This window comes from Homo sapiens, chromosome 6, assembly GCF_000001405.40.
Source record: "Homo sapiens chromosome 6, GRCh38.p14 Primary Assembly".
Taxonomy (NCBI): Eukaryota; Metazoa; Chordata; class Mammalia; order Primates; family Hominidae; genus Homo; species Homo sapiens.
The window spans coordinates 41,163,117-41,188,892 of NC_000006.12; the positions used below are offsets into that span (position 1 = coordinate 41,163,117).

The following is a 25,776-nucleotide window of genomic DNA, read 5'->3' on the forward strand; positions in this document are numbered from 1 at the left end:
GCCTTGTGCAAGATCTCGTCTTTCCCTTGAACTGCAGAAAAGAGAGGATCAGGCATGTCAGGCGCTGCCCACAGGAACTGGGCTCCTGGGGATTAAGCAATAGTCAGGACTGGGGTCTGGAGGCGGTGCAGGGTGGGGACAGAGGGGAGGAGGAGTCGGCCACTGCAGCCCTGGCAGAAGGAGGCTGAGTCTCCCAGACCTCTGAGAAGCCAGCCCACCCTCCTGCTGGTGCCAGCCAGGGTGGCCCCCAGATGGTTGGGGCTGGTAAGGCCCTGCACTGCTCAGTTTCCTTGCAGAGCCTAGCCCAGGGATCACTATCCTCACAGCTGTATTCAGACCCTCCACCAGCTGCAATGCCCGCCATCTTCTGGTTTCAGCCTTGCAAGAGTTGGAGAACAGCTGTGCCTTTAGAGGCCAGGACCCTCATCCAGCACCTCTTAGTTCATCCCCCCAGGGCTGTCATTCCTGTAGTGTGGCAGCAGTTAAGTACACAGCTCTGGAGCCAGACTTCCTGACTTTCTGGGTGTGTAACCACACATCCAAAACCTACCTGTGTCTGTTCCCTGATCTATACAGTGGGAATAATGATAGTGCAAAGGGTTATCAGGAGCACCATATGGGTTCCTACAGGTAAAGTGCTTTCCAGTAGGGCCTGACACACAGCATTCAACAAATACTAACTATTACCATTATCCTAGTTAGAAGGGAAAAGGGAAATGGGCTGTCCATAAGACAGAAAATTTTCTCTCCCACCTGGAATTTTCTGCCCAAGTTTAGCCTTCTTGGAACTGTTGGGTGTCTCCTGTGCACACATGCTCACACTGGTGTTTATTTTGTGCACACACATGCTTGAACTCCTGATCATCCTATCCTACAGGACAGGACAGGATATTTCTCAGAGTTCTGGGGGTAGGGGTGTGTTTTTCTACACGTACAGGTTCCCATGGTGATCCAAGCACAGGGACCCACGTGTGCAAAGGCACAAAAGTGTGAAATGGCCCAGTGAGTCGGGGATTGGATGGAGGAGGCTTGAGTCAATTCTAGGAGTGGGAAATGGAGTTGTGCTGGGAGTGGCAGAAGAGGCTGGAGAAGCCTGCAGGAGCCTGTAGATTATCAGGGTCTACTTTAGTTTCCTGCAAACACTCACTTATTTGTTCTTTTATTCATTTATTTACTCATATTTACTGTGCATCTAACTTACGGACAGGGAATGTGCTTGGAGATGGGGAATTCATAGTGAGGAGAAGACAGGCCTCCACTCAAAGGGCCAACTGCCCGGCCTTGCCCCAAGGGCCTGGGGGCTGAAGTCTGAGGCTGCCTGAAGATCACTCTGTAGGTACTCTTCTAGGGTCTTTTTCTAGAAGTCAGGTTTATTGGCCCATAATTTACATATACAAAAATTTACCCCTTTTAAATGTCTAGTTGTGTAAATGTTGACAAACTCATGCATCTCTATAACAACCACCACAATCACCATGTCTGTGTAACACAATACCATAATATAGAAAGTTTCATTTAGCTTAAGCGAGAGCCTTTGTGCCCATTTTAGCCAGTCTCTTTCTCTCCAATCCAGGGCCTGGCAACTACTAAGCTGACATCTGTTTCTGTAGCTTCCTGCCCTTCCTAAAATGTCATAGACATGGAATTAAATAGTATGTAGCCTCTTGGGTCAGTCTTTATTCACTCATCAGAATAAATTCAGCATGCGTGAAGTTTCACTTCTCAAGAATGTATTCCTTTTTATTGCTAAACCATCTTTCATTCTATGGTTGAACCACAAGTAGCGTATTCATTCACCCGCTGATGGATATTTGGGTTGTTTCCAGTTTGGGACAATTATAAATGAAGCCACTATAAACATTCATGTACATATGTTTTGTGTGGACATATGTTTCTATTACCCTTGGATAAAATCCTAAGAATGGGACTGCTGGGTCACATGTAAGTGTATGTTTAAGTCTATAAAAGCTGCCAAAGTCTTTTCCAAAGAGGCTGTACCATTTTTACATCCTTGTCAACAGTTAATATTGTCAGGTTTTAAAAAGCCTTTCTAATAGGTTTAAGGTGATATCTCCTTCAATTTTAACTTGTATTTTTCTAGTGAGTAACGATATTGGACATCTTTTTGTTGTTTATTGCCATCTGTACCTTCTTCAGCAAAGTATTAGTTCAAAACTTTTGTCCTGTCCATTTTTAATTGTTTATTATTATCATTATTATTGAGCTGTGAAAATTCTTTTTATTCTGGATAGCAGTCCTTTATCAGATATGTGATTTGCAAATATTTTCTTCTAGTCTGTAACTTTTTTTCTCATTTCCTTAGCAGCATTAGCAGCATCTTTTTTTTTTTTTTTTTTTTTTTTTTTTGAGACAGAGTTTTGCTCTTGTCACACAGGCTGGAGTGCAATGGTGAGATCTCAGCTCACTGCAACCTCCGCCTCCCAGGTTCAAGCGATTCTCCTGCCTCAGCCTCCTGAGTAGCTGGGATTACAGGCACCTGCCACCACGCCTGGCTAATTTTTTTGTATTTTTAGTAGAGACGGGGTTTCACCACGTTGGCCAGGCTGGTCTCGAACTCGTGACCTCAGGTGATCTGCCTGGCTCAGACTCCCAAAGTGCTGGGATTACAGGCATGAGTCACTGCACCCAGCCTAAATGGATAGATGTTATTTCTGATGAAGTCCAATTCCTTGATTTTTCTTTTTACAATTTGTGCTTTTCTGTGCTCTGTTAAAAAGTTTGCCCATCTCAGAGTCACAAATATTTTCTCCTATGTTTTCCATTGGAAGTTTTATAGTTTTAGGTTCTACATTGTGGTCTATGATTCATTTTTCATTAATTTTTGCATGTGGTATAAGATGCACTTTGCAATTTTTTCAACATATGAATGTCCAATTGTACTAGCATAATTTGTTGAGAAGACTTTCTTTTCTTCATTGAATTACCTTAGTGTATTTGTTGAAAATCAATTGACATGTAGGTCTAGTTCTGACTGTTCTGTTCCGTTGATCTATATGTCTATTCTTTCTCCAATATCACACTGTCTTGATAACTTACTGTAGCTTTACACTGTCTTAAAATCAAACAGTGGTTCTTCAAAATGGTTTTGACTCTTCTAGTTACTTTGCTTTGCCATGTAAAATTTAAAATCAGCTTGTGGATTTCTAATCCTCTTCTTCTCACCCCCAAAAATCTGTTGGGCTTTCAGTTGGGATTGCATTGACTCTATGGTTTAGTTTTAGAGGGAAATAGACAACACTGTTGAGTGTTCCAAGCCATGGACACAGTTCAGCTGTCCATTTATTTGTTTCTTCTATGATTTCTCTCATCAGTGTTTTCAGTTTTCAGCATACAAATCGTGCACATATATTGTTAAATTTCTACCTAAATATTTTATGATTTGGGGTGCTATTTTACATGATTCTAGCTTTCTGTTTCCTAGGCAGAAGCATAACTCATAAGCTCCATAAGTTTTTATCTTATCTTCTGGTCCATTTAAGCTGCATATTGACCCCATGTCCCCACTCCTTCCCACATGAGGAAAAGGTCTTTAAACCTCATGGAAAAGCGAAGGCACCAAGAAATCCTTACCAATTACTCACAGCACATGTACATCAAAGGCTCTTCTTTAAACTTGTGTTAATTTTCCTGATCCCTCGATCCTATATTTGAGCACAGGAACAGTTCTGCACCACCCGCACTCCCAAGCACAGGATTCTTCTTTTCCCTTTGCTAAATCTGAATTCAAAGATACCTTCCACCTCACATCTGGGCACAGAGTTTATGTCCTTCTGTCATTACGTCTGAACTTCCTCACTCACCGATGTATGCATTCATTCATGTGCCAGGCATGGTGTTACAGAACCATGGAGCCTTTGTGTTCCTAGATATGATGGTGACCATTGCTGGGGAAAGCCTCAGAACCAGAAGCATGACTGCACACATGACATGCTCCTGATGTCTAACTTTAACTGAGACCTCACAGCTGCCTGGTCATCCTCTTCAGAACTCCTGGAGGCTAGAGTAGCTGTTCCAAATCATCACTCTCCTCAAACACACACTTTCACTCTCTCTTCTCCTTTCTCCCTAGGAGTAAATCAAGACGGTCAAGTATGAGCATCCTCACCACCTTTCAGATCAGATCCTCCATTATCTTCCCATCTGCACCCAGCCAGCTTGAGCAGCCAGGAAAGCACTAGGTGTTGGTCAGGACCATGGCCAGTGCCAGCCCCTGTGCTAGGCTGGGGAGGCATGTGACTGGAACAGCCGACATAGGAACAGGCCTCTCAAAGCTGGAATAACTCCAATTTGATTAGGCTTATTGTCAGCCCAACCTGGGACAGCCCCTGCAAAGCCTTGCCTGAGAACTGGGCTTAAAGGGGTGATTGGTGGTGTCCATTCCACCCTTGGCTGGGGCCACCAAACTACAAACATAAGAGCCCACAAATGCCATTCACTAATAAGCAGCCACTTAAGACTTCTCTTTCCCAGTTCCTTCTTTGATTCTGTTCTGCTTTTACTTTATCCTACCTTCCTACATCCAAACCCCTGCCTTCAAGTCCCAATCTTTATCCCGCCTCTGATCTGGCTCAGACTTGACCCTTCTTCCCATCTCTCTCTTTGTATTTGTTGCATCATCCTCTGACACTTTCAGCTCAGGCAGTTCTTCCATTTTAACACTTCATATTTTCCAAGTTGAAGATCTCGGTTCCTATTCAGGGCCAATGACTCCCCTCTCCAAGCCAGGACACCTCCTGGGGAGTGTGTGTGTACATGCGAGTGTGTGATGGCACTGGACTAGGTCTCAGGCAGGCAGCAGGCCAGTCTAGCAGCAGCCAATGGGCCCAACTGAAGTGATGCAGGATGTTAGACCAAGGGAAGGGCTGGATGAGAACTCAGGAAATGAGATGAACCCAGGTGCTAAGCCTGGTGCAGACATCGCAGGCATCATAGGGCTGAGATGGAAGCATAGGGAACCTCTCCTGCTTCTTGATTCAATCAGAACTGCTCCAGATTCTGACGGGTCAGGAAGGATATCCAGCCTGCATATGAGGGAAAAGTGTGGGCACTGAAGCCTGGGTGGGAAGGAAACTAAAAATACAGAGTAGGGGTTAAGTACACAGACTTTGGCTTCTTACAAATCTCTGCTTAAACCCAGCTCTGTTATTTACTAGTTATGTGGCTTTGAGCAAGTTTCTTAATTCTCTGAGCCTAGCTTCACTATCTGGGTACGTAAAGCTATGGCATATTGTTAATTGCAAAAAATAAAATAAAATAAAATAAAATAAAGGTAGCTGGTATTAATTTCCCTCCTCCTTAATCTATTTCTCCCTGAAATCTTCCTTCCATCCTCCTGCCTCCCTCCATCCCGGATGTCCACTTCCTCTTCCCGGGTGACTGTTCTCTCTACCCTGGATGGTCCCTGGCAACTTGCTTTCTCTCCTAATCCTCTCTTGCAGGGTCTTTGATTTCTCCACTCCTTCCTGTCCACACATTTCTTCTTTAAAAAAAAAAAAAAGAAAAAGTTTCCACCTTTTCACTATGGAGAATTTAAAATATACACGAAAGTAGAAGTATAATAAACTCCATCTACCAATAAGCCATCCTCAACGAGTTATAAACTCGTGGCCAATTTTGCTTGGTTCACTCCCCTGTCTCATGTATAATTTTGAAGCAAATCTCATACATTATATTATTTCATCTGTAATGATTTCAGCTAAGAGACTCTTTTTTAAAACTGAAAATAAAACCTAAGGAATTTCCAATTGTTTTAGTAATGTCATATATATTTTCCAGGCTTAAAAATAAATTAGATCCAAACAAGTCTGCACGTTGCAGTTGGTCAATATGTCTTTTAGGTCAGTTTTATTTTATTTGTTTTTTGTTTTTTGTTTTTTTCTTTGTTAGACAGAGTCTTGCTCTGTCTCCCAGGCTGGAGTGCAGTGGTGCGATCTCGGCTCACTGCACCCTCCGCCTCCTGGGTTCAAGCAATTCTCCTGCCTCAGCCTCCCGAGTAGCTGGGATTACAGGTGTGCGCCACTGTGTCCTGCTAATTTTTTGTATTTTAGTAGAAGACAGGGTTTCACCATGTTGCCCAGGCTGGTCTCGAACTTCTGAGCTCAGGAAATCCGCCTGCCTCGGCCTCCCAAAATGCTGGGATTACAGGCGTGAGCCACCACACCCAAATTTTTAGGTCTGTTTTAATCTGTAGTTTCCCCCTTCATCTTTATCTTCCCTTGCAATTTATTTGTTGAAGAAACCAGATTGTTTGTCCTGTAGAATTTCCTGTGATGTGAAGTTTGCTGATTCATCCCCACAGTATTGCTTAGCTTTCTCCTCTGTGCCCTGCATTTTCTATAAATTGATACTTAGCTATAGAGGGTTTTCAGATTTTTTTCTTTTGCCAAATACTTCATAAGTGGCAGTATATTCTTCCACCAGGAGGCACCTGACGTGGAGGAGTGCTCTTTCTGTCATGCTAGCAGCTGTTCTGGCTCAACACCCAGATCCACTAATTCATTTGAGGTTGCAAAGTTGATCATTCCTTTTTTATGTGTTATTCGGCATACTTCTATAAGGCAAGTATACTTACTCTCACCCATCATTTGGCCTGTACAAGAAGGGCAAGAGGAATGCTTTATTCTTTCTTTAATTAACATGTTTTTAAAATTATGCATTAGTTCATTAGTACTCTTCAATTATGACTAATTAGATTTTAATTTTTAGTATAATTATAAATGAATGATTTAGACATATTTGATATATAACAATCTATTATAGTTAGTATTGTTATTGACTTTCAGATTATTCTTTTTTTTTTAAGAGACAAGGTCTCACTCACTCTGTCACCCAGGCTGGAGTGCAGTGGCGTGATTATGGCTCACTGCAGCCTCAACCTCCTGAGCTCAAGCAATTCTTCTGCCTCAGCTTCTTGACTAACGAGGACTATAGGTGTGTGCCATCATGCTCAGCTAACTTCTAAATTTTTTTGCAGAGATGGGATTTCACTATATTGCCCAGGCTGGTCTCAAACTCCTGGCCTCAAGCAATCTTCCCACCTTGGCCTCCCAAAGTGCTGGGATTTCAGACATGAACCATCATGCCTGGCCAGATTATTCTATCTGTGACCAATGGTTAGTTCCTGAGTCCTTTGGGCTAATCCAAGTAGTCTTCCATGTCCTTTCTGGGTGCACCATCCTCAAGGCACCTCCACCTACTCAGCAAGCTGGAAGCTCTTGGAATCTGTCTTTTGGAGTGAGCCATCACGGCTCACTGCAGCCTTGACCTCATGGGTTCAAGTGATCCTCCCACTTCTCAGCCTCCTGAATAGCTGAGACTACAGGTATGTGTCACCACCCCTGACTAATTTTTGTATTTTTTGTAGAGGTGGAGTTTTGCCATGTTGTTCAGACTGGTCTCTAACTCCTGGGATCAAGCAATCTGCCCATCTCAGCCTCGCAAAGGGCTAAGATTACAGGTGTGAGCCACCATGCCCAGCCCAGACAACTTTTTATTCATAGTCTTCAATTGCTCCTGTGTACTTGCTCCCTAGAAAGTCGTGAATGGCCTCCTCTCAGCTCTGGCACCTCTTAAGCTTTTCTTCTGCCTTTGACATGGGTGACCACTGTGCTGGTTCTTTATGCTTGCTCCCACCCTGACCCATGCTCTGCCCTGCTCCGTCTTGCTCCATCCCTGGGAGACTGATCCCTCTGGACCCTATGCCCAGGCTTACTGCTGGGCCTGGCCAAAGGGACATCAAAAGGAGCTTGGAACGTGGGAAGAGAAATAAGTTGTGGTGTTTGTTTCTCCCTACCTCATCCATGCTTTGATGTGGTTCAGACAATGGCTGATTTCCTCTATGGCCACAGCTCCTACTGATGGCTCCTCCATGGCTCCAGCCCTCACTTGGCTCCAGTAAGAGAATTCTCCCTCCCTGTTCTTTCAAGCCCAGGGGGGTGTTAACAGCTTTCTGTATTTGGATGCATCACCATCCCCTGCTGGTTCCCTTATCCTTACCCATTTTTAAAAGAGCCTCATTTAAATTATCAGCAGTTAAACCTGTTGTGCATGCGTCTGTTTACAAACTTGGTCTACAGCTACCTTATTCTTTTCACTCTTATTGGATTAAGTGGGAGATCCCGGAGTAGCTCTCCCAAGGGACACATTCATTTATTCCATCAAGCACCTACTATGTGCCAGGCACCATGCTGGTGCCAGGAAGGTGCTGCCTCTTTGTTGCTGGATATGGAAGTGCTGCTGATATTGTAAATCTGTAGTGGCTGAATTCTAGATCAATACCTTGGGTTGGGAAAGTGAAAGGAGACCCTCAAATGAGTTAACAGAGGGAATTTGGGACATATATGGGTCAGACCATCTCAGCCAGAAAGGCATATTTGGGTTTCTGGTCTTAGTGTGAGCTGAGAAGTCAGGATGGCCATCAGGGCAAAAATGGGCACCAACACTTTGACCACAGAGATCTGCCAATGAAGACGGGTCCTGCCATGGCTGGAAGCTTTTAACACCTTCAAAAGGAAAGAGGATTGTTAGAGAATTGCTGCCTCTCTGAAGAGAAAGAAAACAGTTTTGCCAGGGAGGTGAAGTGACCTTGTTGTCTGGGGTGACACCCAGAGTTCCTGGTCTCATAGCCAAGGAAATCAAGGACACGGGGACACCAAAGGTGAGGTTTAGAGCAGAAATTTAATAGGAGAAAAAAAAGAGAACAGCCCTCTGGTACAGAGAGGGGTCCCAGCAAAAGGGTTGCTGGCCCACAGTGAAATTCAGGGGTTTTTAACAGATGAGCTAGTGGGGAGGCAGTATCTGATCTACATAAAGCATGGAAAACCAGTTAGGACTAGGTGTGCCGTCTGCATAGGGCACGGATCTCTGCCAGCCCCCACCCCAATCCTTTATTATGCAGGTGGGTCCATAGCCTGGCTACTCCAAGTTGTTTATTTCTTTCTTACTTTGCATGTGCTTAAAAAAAGGTGAGGTAGAACCCCCATGGTGACCATGCCTGGCCCCAGGTAGCCCTTTTTATCTGTGCAGCTGCAGCCATCCCCCTTGTGGAAGCTTCCAGCTTCCTTATCTATGTTTGCAGCCCAATCTTCCAGGCTGCTCTTTGTTAGAAAAGAAGTGATTTCTTGGGTTGCTTTTTGTTAGAAGTGAAGTTCAGCCGAGGACTCTTTGCCCTCACTAACTGCCTAAATAGTTTTTCTCTTTTTCTTTTATTTTTTTTTATTATTATACTTTCAGTTCTAGAGTATGTGTGCACAACATGCAGGTTTGTTACATATGTATACATATACCATGTTGGTGTGCTGCACCCATTAACTCGTCATTTACATTAGGCATATCACCTAATGCTATCCCTCCCCCCTCCCCCCAACCCACGACAGGCCCCAGTGTGTGATGTTCCCCACCCTGTGTCCAAGTGTTCTCATTGTTCAATTCCCACCTATGAGTGAGAACATGTGGTGTTTGGTTTTTTGTCCTTGTGATAGTTTGCTCAGAATGATGGTTTCCAGCTTCATCCATGTCCCTACAAAGGACATGAACTCATCCTTTTTTATGGTTGCATAGTATTCCATAGTGTATATGTGCCACATTTTCTTAATCCAGTCTATCGTTGATGGACATTTGGGTTGGTTCCCAGTCTTTGCTATTGTGAATAGTGCCGCAATAAACATACGTATGCATGTGTCTTTATAGCAGCATGATTTATAATCCTTTGGGTATATACCCAGTAATGGGATGGCTGGGTCAAATGGTATTTCTAGTTCTAGATCCTTGAGGAATTGCCACACTATCTTCCACTATGGTTGAATTAGTTTACAGTCCCACCAACAGTGTAAAAGTGTTCCTATTTCTCCACATCCTCTCCAGCACCTGTTGTTTCCTGCCTTTTTTTTTTTTTTTTTTTTTTTTGAGACAGAGTCTCGCTCTGTCACCCAGGCTGGAGGTGTGATCTCCGCTCACTGCAAGCTCCGCCTCCTGGGTTCACAGCATTCTCCTGCCTCAGCCTCCCGAGTAGCTGGGACTACAGGCACCCGCCGCCATGCCCGGCTAATTTTTGTGTGTGTGTGTGTGTGTGTTTTTAGTAGAGACGGGGTTTCACCATGTTAGCCAGGATGGTCTCGATCTCCTGACTTCGTGATCCACCCGTCTTGGCCTCCCAAAGTGCTGGGATTACAGGCGTGAGCCACCACACCCGGCATGTTTCCTGACTTTTTAATGATCGCCATTCTAACTGGTGTGAGATGGTATCTCATTGTGGTTTTGATTTGCACATCACTGAAAAGCCAAAATTGACAAATGGGATCTAATTAAACTAAAGAGCTTCTGCACAGCAAAAGAAACTACCATCAGAGTGAGCAGGCAACCTACAGAATGGGAGAAAATTTTTACAATCTACCCATCTGACAAAGGGCTAATATCCAGAATCTACAAAGAACTTAAACAAATTTACAAGAAAAAAATCAGTCAACCCCAACAAAAAGTGGGCAAAGGATATGAACAGACACTTCTCAAAAGACGACATTTTTGCAGCCAACAGACACATGAAAAAATGCTAAATAGCTTTTTTCTACCTCCTGTATCAGAGGGTTCGATTCCCACTAATGGAACAGCACTGGTGGACCCCATAGATGGTGGGGCACTGTTTCCCTGGAATGTCCTCATCTAAGCTAGGTCACAAGTTCTTCCCTTTACACCCACAGCACACTGGGCAGCTCGGGATCAAACAAGAAAATACATCCTGAAACCAAAGTGCATCCTAATATTATTTAACCATGAAACTCTTTTAAAACTGTTCTAAATTTCACAACATCAACAGGAGCTCTGGAGTTATAACCTATGCCTGGATTAGAGTAGAAAGCAAAAATAGTCCTTAAGACAAATCAGTTACTACAAAATTTGATTCTCCAATACTTTTAAGCAGAATTTTTAAAATGTCAGCTTAGAAATATTAACTAATTTTAAAAGACCTATGTGTTAAAATTATGACTCAAGGCATAATAGCACTTACTAAGGAGAAGACATACATCAATGATATCAATAGTTACTTGGTAAGTACTTCCATTTTTTTTTTTTTTTTTTTGAGATGGAGTCTCGCCCTGTCACCCAGGTCTCGCCCTGTTGCCCAGACTGGAGTGCAATGGCACGATCTCAGCATCCTCCGCATCCCAGGTTCAAACAATTCTCCTGCCTCAGCCTCCCAAGCAGCTGGGATTACAGGTGCCCACCACCATGCCCAACTAATTTTTGTATTTTTAGTAGAGATTGGGTTTCACCATGTTGGCCAGGCTGGTCTCGAACTCCTGACCTCGTGATCCACCCATCTCAGCCTCCCAAAGTGCTGGGAGGTAAGTACTTCTTATGCAGTCAAAACAACGTACCTTCTAGTAACGGGCAATTTCTCCCAGGGTTACCTGCCATACTTAGGAGGGACACAGCTTCAAAGGGGATTATATCTATTGTTAAAAGAAAAACCTTAGACAAATTAAATTTAACAGAGTTTTATTGAGCAAAAAAATGACTCACAAATCAGGTATCCCCCAAAATCAGAATAGGTCAGAGAGGCTCCAATCCTATCACATGGCTGAAGAAGATTTATGGGTAGAAAAATGAAAATGACATACGGAAAACAGAAGTGAAATACAGAAGCAGCTGGGTTTCTTACAGCTTGGCATTTGCTTTATTTGAACATAATTGGCCACCTTTGTTTGAAGGAAACTTGGTGATTGGCACAAGAGCAGGTTACAGCCTCTTTACACATCCAGTTACGTTACAATCCACTATGTACTGAAACTTTTAGGCCAGACTTAAAATATGCAAGGAGGCAACTTTAGGCTAAACTTAATTTAACACTATTAACTATATAAAATATGTTAAGCATTTTCAAAATCTTTTAAAAACCATATTTAATGACTTTTTCTGTGAAAAATACATAAAAATTCACTCTGAAAAGGTAAAAGTTGTCCATAACTTCCCCACTGAAAACACTAACATTTATTGAGTGCTTACCATGTGATAGGCATTGTTCTAAACATTTTACATAAAGTATTTACAGCATCATTATAAATCAATGTATTATATTGATGTTAATATATCAATATAGTATGTTAATCAATATTGTAATGCATATTGTATTAACACATTAATGAGTAATGTATTACATCATTACCTATGAGGCAGGTAATATTATTTTTCCAGATAACTGAGACTCAGGGATGTTAAATAACTTGTCCAGGATCACCCAACTAGTAAAAGGTGGAACTTAGGTTTAAACCTAGGTAGTCCGACTCCAGAGCCAGACTTGTTAACAATTTTATTAAGAGTGGAATTTTCTTCCACTCTTATAATCCCATTCCCCAGAGGGAATCACTACTACTAATATTTTGGTGCTTAGTCATCTAGACTTTTTTCTGTGTTTGTACATACATGTGCGTGCACACATACTCACACACACACACACAAGCTTATTTTAGGGCTGTCATTTTTCCCATTTAATATATCGGGGACATCTTTCCATATCAACAAATACAGGCTTACTTCATTCTTTATAATGTCTACGTGGGATTCCCTGGTGTGGATATAGCAATTTATTTAATTATCCTGTTATTAGTAGATATTAAAAGAGTTTCTAAAAGTTGGTTCTTGCAAATTGTAATAAACATGGCTTATTTTTCCTTACATTAAAAATATTTGGAGAAAATATATTAGTAGCATGGTCCTAGTAAGTTCACATAACACTTATTAATATCTCTTGGAAAATCAATGTTTTGTGAAACACTGAGAAGCGAGTCTCAATCCTTTAACAGATACAGTGAGCTTACTCGCCTTCGCTCTTGATTCACTGCTTTTGTGTTACAAGGCTACTGTTGTGTAACAAACCCATCTTTAGTCAATCTCATGCCTTGGATCTCCAAACCATCACCACAGCCTCAAATATCACAACTCCTAAAACACAAGACCTAGAATATCAGGGATCAAAGAGACATGGAGAATCCACTCTTTCACCTGACTCAGCCCCAACTTATCGAATTCTGGTTCTGGCTGAGGAAACATGTCTTCTCAGTGGAGACACTAATGACCTATCAGTAGGCGGGCAAAGGATTAAAGAGCCAGGAAAAACTGGCTCGAGGAGAGATTTGGTTGGGAGATGTGAGTGAGAAGGTAGCTGCCAGGTATTGACAGCAAGATAAATATGGGCTTTGAGAATATAAACTCGTGTTTCCTTGGAGGACAGAATAAAGTTGTAGATTACTCTGATGATGCGCGCGCGCGCGCGCGCGTGTGTGTGTGTGTGTGTACTGAGTTTCCTAGAATGAAACTCCATGAAAGACAAGACCACTGCAAAGTCCAGCTTGTAAATAAGTTGTACATATGATAGTTGCAAGAGGAGAGGAACAGGGCTTATTTTGAGAAATCCAGCAAGGATTCTCAGAGGAAAGAAGCTCAGGCAGGAGAAGTAGCCGTTAGGAAAGAGAAGACAGGTCAAATTTCTGTAGCGTAGGGAAGCTTCCCATAGGATTTAGAACTTTCATTTCTCAACATTTTGACTATTGGAAGAGACCAAGTAGTTGTTCACCCAACTATTTCCTCCTGAGAACACAGCTAGACTGTCTTCCAACCTCTCTTGCAGTTAGAGGTGGCCACATGATGGGGTTCTGAAAGAAATGAAATTTCAAGTTTGCTACTTCCAGGGCTGTCCCATAAAGCCTCCTGTGCAATCTTGAATGTTCTCTCTCTCTTCTCTCATTTGCTGCCCAGATATAGAGGATGCAGTGGAGGGCTCTGAGATTCCAAAGGACAAGAAAGCCACTAGCTGGAAGAAACTTGGGTTCCTGAGTGATGCGTGGAGCAGAGCAGAGCTTCCTCACCAACCTCCATGTGATGGGAGTGAGAAATAAACTTGTTAACATTTTTTATTACAGCAGCTAGCTAACCCTGACTAGTACATTGTAGAATACTCGTATGTCCTTTGCCTCTCTGGTAGCTTCTCTGACTCCTTCCTGGAATCCTCTTCTTTCTCTCATCACCTGAACAAAACTATCCCCCTAAAAATCAGAGCCCTTCTGACCACTTTCCTCTGGGTCAGCAAGTGACCTAGTCCTGATCTCTCTTTTGAGCTCCAGATGCTCATCAGCAGCTTCTTAAGGTTAACTGTCTTGCAGTTGCATGAAGATGCAAACCTAAGTTCATTTTCTTCCTCCCCAAACTGATTCTCCTAACTTATCTTTCACTGTCACTCACTCGTCACCAGGCTTCTCCTAGTCAAACTGGCAGTACATCCCTGTGTGTTTTCAATTCTTCCCTCTTTCTCACCAGCTACACCAGACAGAAGACCATCACTCCTCTTTCCCCCACATCCATCCCCACGCTTCTGCTATCCTCATGGCCGTCTCTCTTCTCAAGCCAGGTGGTGGCACCTTAAGTCCTCTCTTCAATGCCACTCTCTCTTCCTCAAGTTACAGCACCCTGGGCTATGGCTCTTGTGTAGACTTCTGCAATAGCTTTTTTTTTTCTAATTAAGAAATATTTTAAGCACATGGGGAAGTGTAGAGACTAATATAACTAACACTTGTACCTATCACTCAGTTTTGTCAATCCTTAATATTTTGCTGTATTTGAAAATGAAGGGAAAAAAACAAAATTGCTTCAAATCTAGGAGATGAAAAGCTTATGTTATCTCTTTCATTGTATTAGGTGGAATTTTATAGTAAACTTACATAACACTAAAATTTGTATATAGTGCCATGTTTAAATTTTTCCCCGTTCCCATGCGTTATTGCCTCCATGTTGCATCAACCACTGATGTAATAGAAACCTGATATCAATCAACACATACCCCAAGTGATTTTATATGCATTTTACAGAACAAATGCCATTGGGCTACCTAAATGCCTCCATGGAACTATATATGTTTTTTCTATGATTATTATAATAGACTCCTTAGAATTAGAAAATGTGAGGTCATTTCTCTCTCTGACTATATGTGTGTGTGTGTGTGTGTGTGTGTAAATATATGTTATAATATATATTAAATAAATAATTACAGGCATATTTGAAGCCCCCTACCAATCCGTATATAATTGCATCTAGCTGAGATTTGAATTCTTCTGATTTCTAGTGAAGTTAAACATTATCTATGTGCCTTTGGTTTTTAAATTTTCTGTGTTTTGTTTCTCCCTATAGGTCAATTGAAAGTGGTTTGTCCTTTTTATGATTTGAATGAGTTCTTCATAAATTTTGGCCACTAATCTTTAATCAGTTCTATGCATTGCAAATGCCTCTCCCTGTCGGTGGCCCATCCTTTCACTTTGTTTCTCGTATCTTCTTTGGACCAAAGTTTTCAATTTTAATATAGCCAAATATGTCATATTATTTTACCCTTTATGGTTTGTGCTTTTTCACCCAGGCTGGAGCGCAGTGGCGTGATCTTGGCTCATTGCAACCTCCGCCTCCCAGGTTCAAGTGATTCTCATTCTTCAGCCTCACAAGTAGCTGGAATTACAGGCACACACCACCACGCCCAGCTAATTTTTGTATTTTTAGTAGAGATGAGGTTTTGCCACATTGTCTAGGCTGGTCTCAAACTCCTGGGCTAAAGTGATCCACCGGCTTCAGCTTCCCAAAGTGTTGGGATTACAGGTGTGCGCCATCACTCCTGATCTTGCTTAAGAAATCATTCTGGCCCCTGAAGTCATAAACAACTCATATTTTTGTCTAAACATTTTATTGTTGGGCTACTCACATTTCGGTTGATAACCCACCTGGAATTTATTTTTGTATAAGACATAAGGTAGGAATCTAATTTTATGTTTTTCCCCACATGGCTAGATTGTTGTATCAGCAGCATTAAATATTCTCTTCTTTCCACCTGATTCATAATGCCTGCTCTGTCAAATATCAAGTTGCCATATATACATGGATCTGTTCCTTGCTTCTTGATTCTGTTGCCTTTGCCAGTTTTCCACTCCAGGATTGCATGATAATTACTATGACTTCGTAGTAAGTCTTGGTTTCTGATAGGGTAAGGCCATCTCCTTTCCCCATAGCCTTGTTCTTCACGTTTGTCTTGGCTATTTGTTTTGATTGTTTGTTGCTGGATAATGAGTTATCTCAAAATAGTAGTTTGAAACAACCACCCAAAGATCAAATATGCAGGTTGATGAATAAAATTTTTGCATACTGTGTCATATGCATCAAGAGCATAGGGAGATGAAGTGAAGGGAGGGCCCACTGTGTGGCCTGAAGAACGACCCGCAGGGAGAAGGCTGCTTACACACTCAGACATGCACAGTGGGCCTGAAGCCTCCTGGGACTCCAGAGATCAAGGGCCAGCTCTCCCTCTCCAATCTGTCCTGGTCCTCCTCACATACCCCTCCTGTGGGGCCTGAGGTTGCCATGGATGCCCCGGTACTGAGATAAGGAAAAGGTGTACATTCCCGAGGTCATAGCTTTGGAAAGGTGCCTTCAGGCCTTTGGTGGTAGCAGGGGTAGCCCTTTCCCTGGGGCAGGGTGGGGAGGAGGAACCCACATCCTCCTGTCTGGGGCCGCTGGTTAATTAGGAATCTTGCCCCTTGAACTCCCCAGCTGAGTCAGCTGCACCCCTGCTCTCCCCTCTTGCCTCCTGGAGGCTTGTGTCAGGAAAGGTCATGCTTCCCCCATCCTCTCCATCCTCCTCTGGCACCTTCAGCATTCCTCTAGCTGTAGCCGTGACTGCTTTATATCGTCATTGTTTTTCCATGCATCTCCCCAAACACAAACACACACACACACACACACACACACACACACACACACACACACACACACAATCTTTAAGGGAACAGGGACCCAGAAGCATAGTGGTTAAAACTTCGGAGTCTAGAATTCATCATTTACTAGCTGTGTGAATTCAGGAAATTACTTAACCTCTCTATGCCACAATATCTAAATATGTAAAATACCTTACAGGGATGTTCGAGCCATTAATCCATGAAAAGGAATCTGGCACATAATAAGCACTCCATAAATGTCGGCTTGCTAGAATTAATCTCTGTATCCTCAACCCTGAGCACAGTACCTGACAGTCAGTAGCCACCCCTAAATGCTTGTGTAATTTATACAGATCAGTCAAAACTGTTAGAGTTGGCCGGGGTGGTGGCTCACCCCTGTAATCCCAGCACTTTGAGAGGCTGAGGCGGGAGGATCACATGAAGCCAGGAGTTCGAGACCAGCCTGGCCAAAATGGTGAAACCCCATCTCTACTAAAAATACAAAAATTAGCCAGGATTGGCACGCACTTGTAGTACCAGCTACTCAGGAGGCTGAGGCAGGAGAATGGCTTGAACCTGGGAGGCGGAGGTTACAGGGAGCCAAGATCATGCCACTGCACTCCAGCCTGGGTGACAGAATGACTCTGTTTCAAAAAATAAGAAGTAACGTTGGAGCTCTAGGTCTAGGTAAATCCCCCGGGTTTTGACAGTTCATGAGGGTGGCTCCTGGTGCTGCAGCCAGACCAATGCAAACAGGAAATCCAAGTCAGGGATCATTTGTTGGAGATGGGCTCTCCCAGTGGTATGTAGTCTAAAATATACAACAAACACGGAGGCACTGTCAAGAGCCTATAACTGTGAAGGACCAGAGGTCAAATGAGGCCACAGTTCAACACCAGTGACCTTCTCAAAACAGGGCTAGCTCAGGTGGAAAAGCATGGTGCAGCAATTGCCTAGCCTTCAGCAGTCAGATCCAGCTTGCAGGAGGAGACTAAGCCAGGCAGGGCAGGATTAGAAACTCAGGAGCCAGGGTGACACCCAGAACACCCCATTCCCTCCTTGTTCCCCATCTCCCTTAGCCTGAGTGTCTGGCCCTACAGGTTTGTGTCCCCATGGAGCCAAAGGCTGAGGACAGAACCACATCCTTGACACTGGGACCCTAGAAGGTGGATGATGGCAGCACAGATGTCACAGTCATAAGTAATAGGAGCTTACCTACCTTTCTCCCAGAGGAAGACCTCATCCTCACAACCTGGCCCTCCAGGCCTCAAACCTCCCACCCTTCTTCTCTCCATCCTCCTCTCTTTCTGGCCATGATGTAGCCTGACTTCAGTCTCGTCCTGTGGACAAGGCTGATGTCTCACTCTGACTGAGGACAAGCCAAGTCCTATTTAACAAAAGCTTTCACAAGCCAGCTGCCTAAGGAGGAGTTGGTGAGCTTCCTGCCCTTTGACAGATGGAGGCAGAGACTTCATGACTCCTTACTGAAGTTTGTAGAGAGGGTTTTGGCGTCCCACTGGAAGCTAGAATCAGGGACCTTTAAGGTCACCATTGGGAATCTGCAACTCCAAGCAATCTTCCCCATGATGTAGCAGGATACCACTTCTGGTCACTTGGCCTGAAGTTCCCAGAGTTCAAAGTCACTTCTTGGGGACACACAATAAAAGAGGGACCCCTGTCTCCAGAAGGGCCCTTTGGAAAATATGTGGGCCAAGCAGGAGGCAGCCCCCAGCCCACTCTGTTTGACTGAGATGCAGCTAGCAGACTGGATAATGATTCTGTGCAAGGCAGAGGTGCCCAAATCAGTTCTGATGGAGCTGTGTGGATGGCCATAGGGAAGGAAGGTCCTCACCACACCCTGCCTGGCAAAGACAGGGCGAGAGCTAGGGCCAGGGAGACTCCTGAGCAGTAGGCACTACCCACATCCTGGCATTCCTTCTGGCAGGGTCATAAGAATCTCATGAGTGGGAGGGGATTTTCAATCAGGAGGACAGGGAAGAGAAGAGGGATCTGGCTTGGGGGTTAGGGGGAGGGCAGAACTCCTCAGCCTGGCTTAGAGGCCCTGAGAGGACAGTTAAGGGAGGGGTCTCTCAAGGACATAGGCACCAATAAAATGCATGCACAATCTGTCAGGATTTCATAGCCCTTTGTCAGAAAGGAAGTGATGGCCACAGAGGGAGGCGAGAATTGGGTTACTCAAAGGCACTGGGTCCCCAGACCCTATCTACCTGGACTCTGTCCTAGCAGATCCTGGGGAACAGGGGTGCAAGTGTCCAGAAATCTCCTCCATGATCTTATCACAGCCCTCAGACTCAAACCTTCTGCCCTCTAGTTGATAAGTACTTGACTTTTCTTTGCTCCTCCTTCCTCATATCCCTTTAAGGAGGAGGTGACCCCTGCTGGTTGGTAGCTGTCTTTGCCACATGGAGGGCATTCATCACTGGTAAAGCAGCTCTATATCAATGTGAGTACTTGATAAGTGCTCACTGTCCAGTAAATTCTGCCTTCAGTTCCCAGGCCAGTAGCACCAGATCACCTCAGAGCTTGTTAAAAATGCATCATCAGGCTCCATGCCAGATGTGTTAAGGCAAAGTGTCTTAGGTGAGGCCCAGGAAACTGTTTTAACAAGCTCTTCAAGTGGTTTTATGCACACTCAAGTTTGAGTAGCACCGAGCTAAAAGAGCACTTGGTAGGGATGTTATTTGTAGAGTTGATTCCAATGTTACACAGAGGGTTGATCAAGATGACTTTAGATCATTTGAATTCTGCAGTTCTGTGATTCCAAGAGTCTCAGATCTTTAGACAAGACAGACTTACCCAAGGGAAACTGCCTAGTCTCTCGCACCTGCTAGGAGAGCATCCTAGGGGAGCCATGTTGTCTGCCATGTGACACCCTTCCCCACAGCTGACTGGACAAATGGTAGCCAATCCACAAGCTGGTTCATGACCTATGAGACATGAAAAGCTGCCTTCCACAGGGGTGAAGGGCAAAGCTGGGTTAGCCAACTTCTCTTTTTCTCTAGGAGATTTGAATTGGGAAACAGAGAGAAAGGAAACACGTAGCTAAGCCATGCATGAGGCAGCAGGGGAATGAGTAGTCACCAGTGCGAGGCAAGATTTAGAGTAAATAGGAACTAAGAGTAAGTATAAACCAGGAAATTAAAAAAGACAAGAATAAAGTTGCACAGGAAAGCTGTGGTACTGCTGTCCTAGGGAAGGGTCATTCTTACTCACAGTGGTCTTCTCCTTTTGGACGTCATCATAAACATGGTAAGATTCACCCTCACCTGCAAAGAAGACAGTCAAGGTTAAGCAAGGAATCTCTCCCAACCCAACTCCCATGGAAACATGAGGGAGATATTGGGGTCCTGGCTGGGCAGAAGGGACACTGATGGGAAAGAGGCCAGGGCTGGATCAGTGGCCACATTCTGCCTGGGGAGGTCCCCAGTGCCCAGCAAGAGTGGTGTCCAGGTATACGAAGGAGCAAAACAAACTGGCTGTCTATGATTAATGTGCATAAAATCCGTAAAGTTAATTATCAATTCCAGGTTGCTGAAAATTCCAAATTTAAAATTAGACCTAAGTATAATCTATTTGCTGATGAATTTATATGTAGTACTGTCTTTCCAATTTTTTGAACCAGGAGCTCCAGTGTGATTCACAATTTATCTACCACTTACACAAACACACTCATACACTCTCACACCCAGACACATATTCACACACACTCCTAAAATAAAAGTTTAACAAAAAAAGGGTAAAGCATTATGACATTATGCTCTTCTATTATGTTTTTATAAAAATCCTGTTGTGACCTATTAAATTGATTTTACACTGATTAAAAATAGGTATATAAAATTTTACAACCCACTGCTTTCTTTGGATTTTCATAGCTTGAATAATTAAAACCAATGAAGTCCAATATACCTCTGGCCCACTCCCACGTTTCAGTCTTTTTGTCAACAGAAACATCTTCAGTATAGGGCTATTGAGCACACAGTACCTATGTGTCAAACCAACCAACCAACATAAAACAGCAAGAAAGGAGGTAACATTCATTAAAGGGGACTAATCTGATAAATCTTAGACAAGATGCTACAGATTTCATATGTGATTAATGCTAAAAACTTAAAACTTTGAAGATTAAAAAGTCCTGGAAGTGCTTTTAGGAAGACGACATTTTTAAATGATAAAAACAATTAAAAAACAATACCATGAACCAGGAACATCTTTACATAGATTTGTTTTAAAAGTCTTAACCTAAAAGTTGGCAAAAAATACATGATCCAAAATGGATACTAGCACACCTAGTTGTAGACAAATTGGCACTGAGTTGAATTGGCTTTGGGTGAGCTGACCTGGAGCCTTAGAAGATGATGAGTCCACCGCCCTCAGGGCTGCCCAGGCTGTTGCTCTGGCAGAAGGAAGGGAAGCCATTTGGGGCTCCCAGGGGATCTTGGCCACTTTACTTCTCAGGCCTCAGTTTCCTAGTTGGTAAAATGAGCATAAGAATCCTTGTCCTCGATGAGTTCATGTCCTTGTAGGGACATGGATGAAGCTGGAAACCATCATTCTGAGCAAACTATCACAAGGACAGAAAACCAAATACCGCATGTTCTCACTTATAGGTGGGAATTGAACAATGAGAACACTTGGACACAGGGTGGGGAACATCACACACGGGGGCCTGCCGTGGGGTAGGGAGAAGGGGGAGGGATAGCATTAGGACATATACCTAATGTAAATGACGAGTTAATGGGTGCAGCACAGCAACATGGCACATGTATACATATGTAACAAACCTGCACGTTGTGCACATGTGTCCTAGAACTTAAAGTACAATAATAAAAAATAAAAAAAATAAAAAAACAATCCTTGTCCTCACGGCTCTCAGGCTGCCCTAGAAATCGCTAAGCACTTGGCTGTCTGCTCAGAGCCAGTGACCAGGACTCACTTTCCTAGCTCTTCCTCGGGCTTTCTGGAGGTACCGGTTGATGAGGAGGGCAAGCAGCAGCAGCAGCAGCACAACGGTCACTGCCACACCCAGGATGATGGACTTGACTGGGGGGCTTTGGAATAAGGACCCGCCTGATGAGGAAAGTCAGAGCCCAGACCAACCTCCTGCCCTGAAATTCATCCCTCCTGCCATGCCTGTTGTCACCACAGGCCCTCCCCAGCTTCTAGCCTGTCCTCTGAGGTCTCCTTCGGCTCAGCTGACCAGTAGGCAGCCATGTGATCAGGGGCTCTTCCCCACAAACCATGTTGTCTAGGGTAAGCCATTCCACCTCAGGGTCGGTTTCTTTCTGTGCAAAACTGCTATCTCAAGTCCTTGCTCTTTCCCTTTTGCAATTGTTATCCCTTGGCTTTCTATCTGGGCCCCTATTGCAGGGTCTCCACCCAGCTCTCCTGGCACCCTTTGCTTCACATTTCTGTCTCAGGTCCTTAAGCTCAACCCTTCTCTAGGAAATGCAGTGAGCTCTCAGAGTATACTGATGTCATTGACAAATAGCTCTCCCAGATAAAAAATACATTTTAATAGGTCCCATTTTAAGTCAAAGGAAGAACACAGAGGTAGACTGTTTTATACCATAGCAGGCTTTTAGGGAAGGTGTCTGGGTTGTCAGATGTCAAAGGGGGAGGACAAGCAGTTCAGGAACATCTCTCAGCTCAGGTGATCAGCACCCCTTGGTTTCTGGTTTAATCTCTTGATGCAAGAAAGTATGGTTTGCAAGAGCCCAGCATTCATCATCTGGAGTGATGGTGGATGGAGAGAAGGGAGGGGAGGACAGAGGCAGGAAGACACTGTCAGTGCCCGTGGCTGGGGCCTGGAAACCATCAGGCAGAGGTAGAAAACAAAGCAGGCCACAGGTTGTGGTAACTACACAGTGTGCCCTTTCCCTAGACCCACAGTACTCTGGAATAGCTCTCCTGCTCACGGACAAGGGCTGGAAGGAGGACAGAGGTGAAAGAAACAGCCCTGGTCATGTGCTATGAATTGAACTGGGCCCTTCAAGTCCGTATTTTCCTTGAATCTTCACAACAACCCTGTAAGAAAAAGGTTCCTGTCCCCCTCCCTTGGCCCTGCTCCCCTTCCCCTCACCTGAGGCCAGGAGCACCAGCAGAACTCTCAACAGCAGGTGTGTGGCCTCCAAGGTCATGGGTCCTCTTCTTGAGCCGGGATGGTGGGAGGAAAGTGAGGCAGCGGGGAAACCCTGGGGAGCGGGAACCAGCGCTGGCAGGATCCGGCCCTGGGGATGAATTGCTGAGGAAGTCAAAGTCTCCCTTGAGGAAGCAGGAGGCCTGGAAGGAAGGGGGACGCCTTGGCCTACACGAGCCCCTCCAGCTGCAGGCTCTACATCCGGGCCTGGAAAGGCCTCAGCCTATACTCTGTAGCTCCTGCTGGTTTCCTCTGGCCCCAGCCTCTTCCCACTTGTCAGGCCACCTCCCTCCCACTGGCGCTGGGGTGGGAAAAGCTGAGAAAGTCCAGGAGGAAACTATGGCGAAATAAAAACCTCTTTCTCCTCTCTCCCCTCTATTCTACCACTTCCTCCCCAGCCTGAAGTTTCTCTTCCTCACCCAGCTAACACACAGGCTGAAGGTGAGTGACAGTGTTAGGGAGCCTTTTGGAGGTCTGACTAGAACCTGAAGACCCATTGGCTCCCAGGGGTCAGAGACTTCATGACCAGGCCTGCCTGGAACCGGGGAGTTCCATGTCAACAGGAGGGGAAGAGGAGAAAAGAGATGGAGATTCACTTCCAGGAATGGAGGTGCAGGGGGTGTCTATGGCAAAGGTGGGAGAGAGTAAAGCCTGGGGAGGGGAAGATGGGGAAGGGAGGAGGAGGGGAAAGGGTATCTCAGTCCCCAGATCATCTCCTTCCCCAGCTCTGAGCTGCCATAATCACTCCAGAGCCTTTGATGAAAGATGACACTAATCAAACACATTTAAAAATAATTGTCCTTAGATGAACTATAGAAAATCAATTGTCACAGGCGATTGACAGTTAATAAACAACAAAGAAAAGAAAAACTATAAACCGTGGTGCTGCAGGTTGGGTTCCTGGGCACAGAGTCAGCTGCAGATTAGCACTGGAGGTTTAAAGCGCTCTGGGACCAACATCTGGGGAAGAGAAGAGCAGGAAGCAGGATGGGGCATGTGAATCCAAAATATCAGAGAGAGGCCTCAATCAATTCAGAAAGTCTACTTTGCCAAGGTTAAGGACATGCCTATAATAGTCTCAGGAGCCCTGAAGACATGTGCCCAAGGTGGTTGGGGCACAGCTTGTTTTTATACATGTTAGGGAGACGTGAGGCATCAATAATTATATGTAAGATGTATATCGACTCGGTCTGGACCAATGTGCATTTGGTCCAGGGTTTGTGTGGACGGGGCAGTGGGAAAGGCGGCTTCCAAGTCGTAGATAGATAAGAGACAAAAGGTTGCATTCTTTTAAGTCCTCTATCAGTCTTTCACTGAACACACAATTTAGTCTGGCTCAGTGAATCTGCATTTTTACATAAACAATAGGGCAGAGAAGCAATCAGATACGCATTTGTCCTAGGCAAGCAGAGGGATAACTTTCTTTCCTGCACCTGTGAAGACCAGCTAGCAGTTTACATTGCCAGGGTGAAAATCAACAGAACTGTTTTAGGGTAAAGATCTCAAGGCCCACAAAGAATTGTCTTGTGGGCAAATTGTGAGGGAGGTACATAGTTTTTTAATCTTTGTAGCTATCTTATTTAGGAATAAAATGCGAGGCCAGTTTGCCTGCTGTAGTTCCCAGCTTGATTTTTCCCCTGGCTTAGTGATTTTGGGGTTCTGAGATTTATTTTCCTTTCACAGGCAGAAGGAGAAGTCAGGCTGCAATAGAGGCCATAAGGAGACTCAGGCTATCCTGGGAGGAGTTCCTAAGACAGGATGGCCCTTCAGGACTTGTCAGTCAGGGGAGGTGGGGTGTCCTGGGAGGGGAGTCTGGCCTTGGCAAGGTGGCTTTCTGCAGCTGAGGAAGACCCCAGAGAAGCTGGCAGAGGAGACCTGCCCTCACCACTCCTAATGTCCATCAGTCCCACATGAGGAGCTGGCAGCACGGCATCCACTCTCTCAATTTGATCCAGAGTGAAAGCATGTTGCAGCCATTGAAGAGAACTGTAAACCTAATGCCTGCTTGCTGGGCTCCATGCAGGTGTGTGTATATCCAGGAGGTACTGGATTTACTTTATTTGTTCTTCCATTGGCCATGATGGCCAGCCCTTCCCAGGTGTGTGTTCTATGTCCACAGCCTGTTGCTCAGGAAGCTTTATTGTCTCACCTGCTAAAGTGAGCAGCCTGTCCGATGCCCCACCTGCCCTGCACCTTCCTGCCGTGGATCTGCTGTGGATCTGGGTCCCTGGAGCTTCGAGAAGAAGGTTGAGAGAGGAGGGAGGAAGTGAAAGGCTGGTGTGTTTAGGAAAGTGTCCAGTTGGGGCTGGGGATATGGGGCTTGGTCTATAGCTCCTCAGCCCCCGTGTCCTTACCATGGGAGTTCATATGGGAGCAGGCTCCTAGGGTGAGCAAATTGTGCTGGTTCACTTGGTTCCAGGAACCCCTCAGGGGCATACAGGGACAGTTGGTCACCCTCACAGCTACCGTGCTCTACTTCAGGACACAGCTAAAGGCCTCTGCTTGGGTTCAGCAACCAGCTGGTGAGTGGCCATGTCCCCTTCCACCCTCCACAGCCCTTCTCGTCAAGCCTCCCCATGGCTCCCAGCTGCCATGGCCTGTGCAGTCTCTGCACCTAGATCTCACCTCCTGACTCCACCCTGTGGTTTGCGCCTCAGATAGAGCCCCACCTCCTCCCTGAAGCCTGCCTGGCTAGCCAGAGCCTGCAGGATTCCCAGTTCCCCATCTTGGAAGGACTTGAGAACCTCCTATCTCTTGCACTGTGGTGTCTTACCCTGTGCTAAGGTCTGGGGTGTACCCAGCAGTGCCATGTCTCCCTTCCCTCAGAGGCTGTGAGCAGATTGAGGCCAGGGCTGGTTC

At 44.8% G+C, this 25,776-nt stretch overlaps 1 long non-coding RNA gene across 1 annotated transcript, besides 1 other annotated feature; it reads right to left on the reverse strand.

Annotated features, from left to right (window-relative positions):
- Positions 11,652-11,771: a silencer, noted in NCBI's record as "silent region_17174". NCBI's record gives its function as "represses an Ori minimal core promoter by ATAC-STARR-seq in GM12878 lymphoblastoid cells {active_cell/tissue: GM12878}" and the evidence as "EXISTENCE:reporter gene assay evidence [ECO:0000049][PMID:35858748]".
- Positions 17,368-23,273, reverse strand: LOC107986595 (uncharacterized). Its single transcript, XR_001744118.2, has 3 exons — positions 22,861-23,273; positions 19,995-20,047; positions 17,368-17,571 (listed from the first exon to the last, which is right to left on the reverse strand). It is a non-coding gene; the product is annotated as an uncharacterized LOC107986595 (long non-coding RNA).
- Between the last annotated feature and the right edge of the window lie 2,503 nt (positions 23,274-25,776).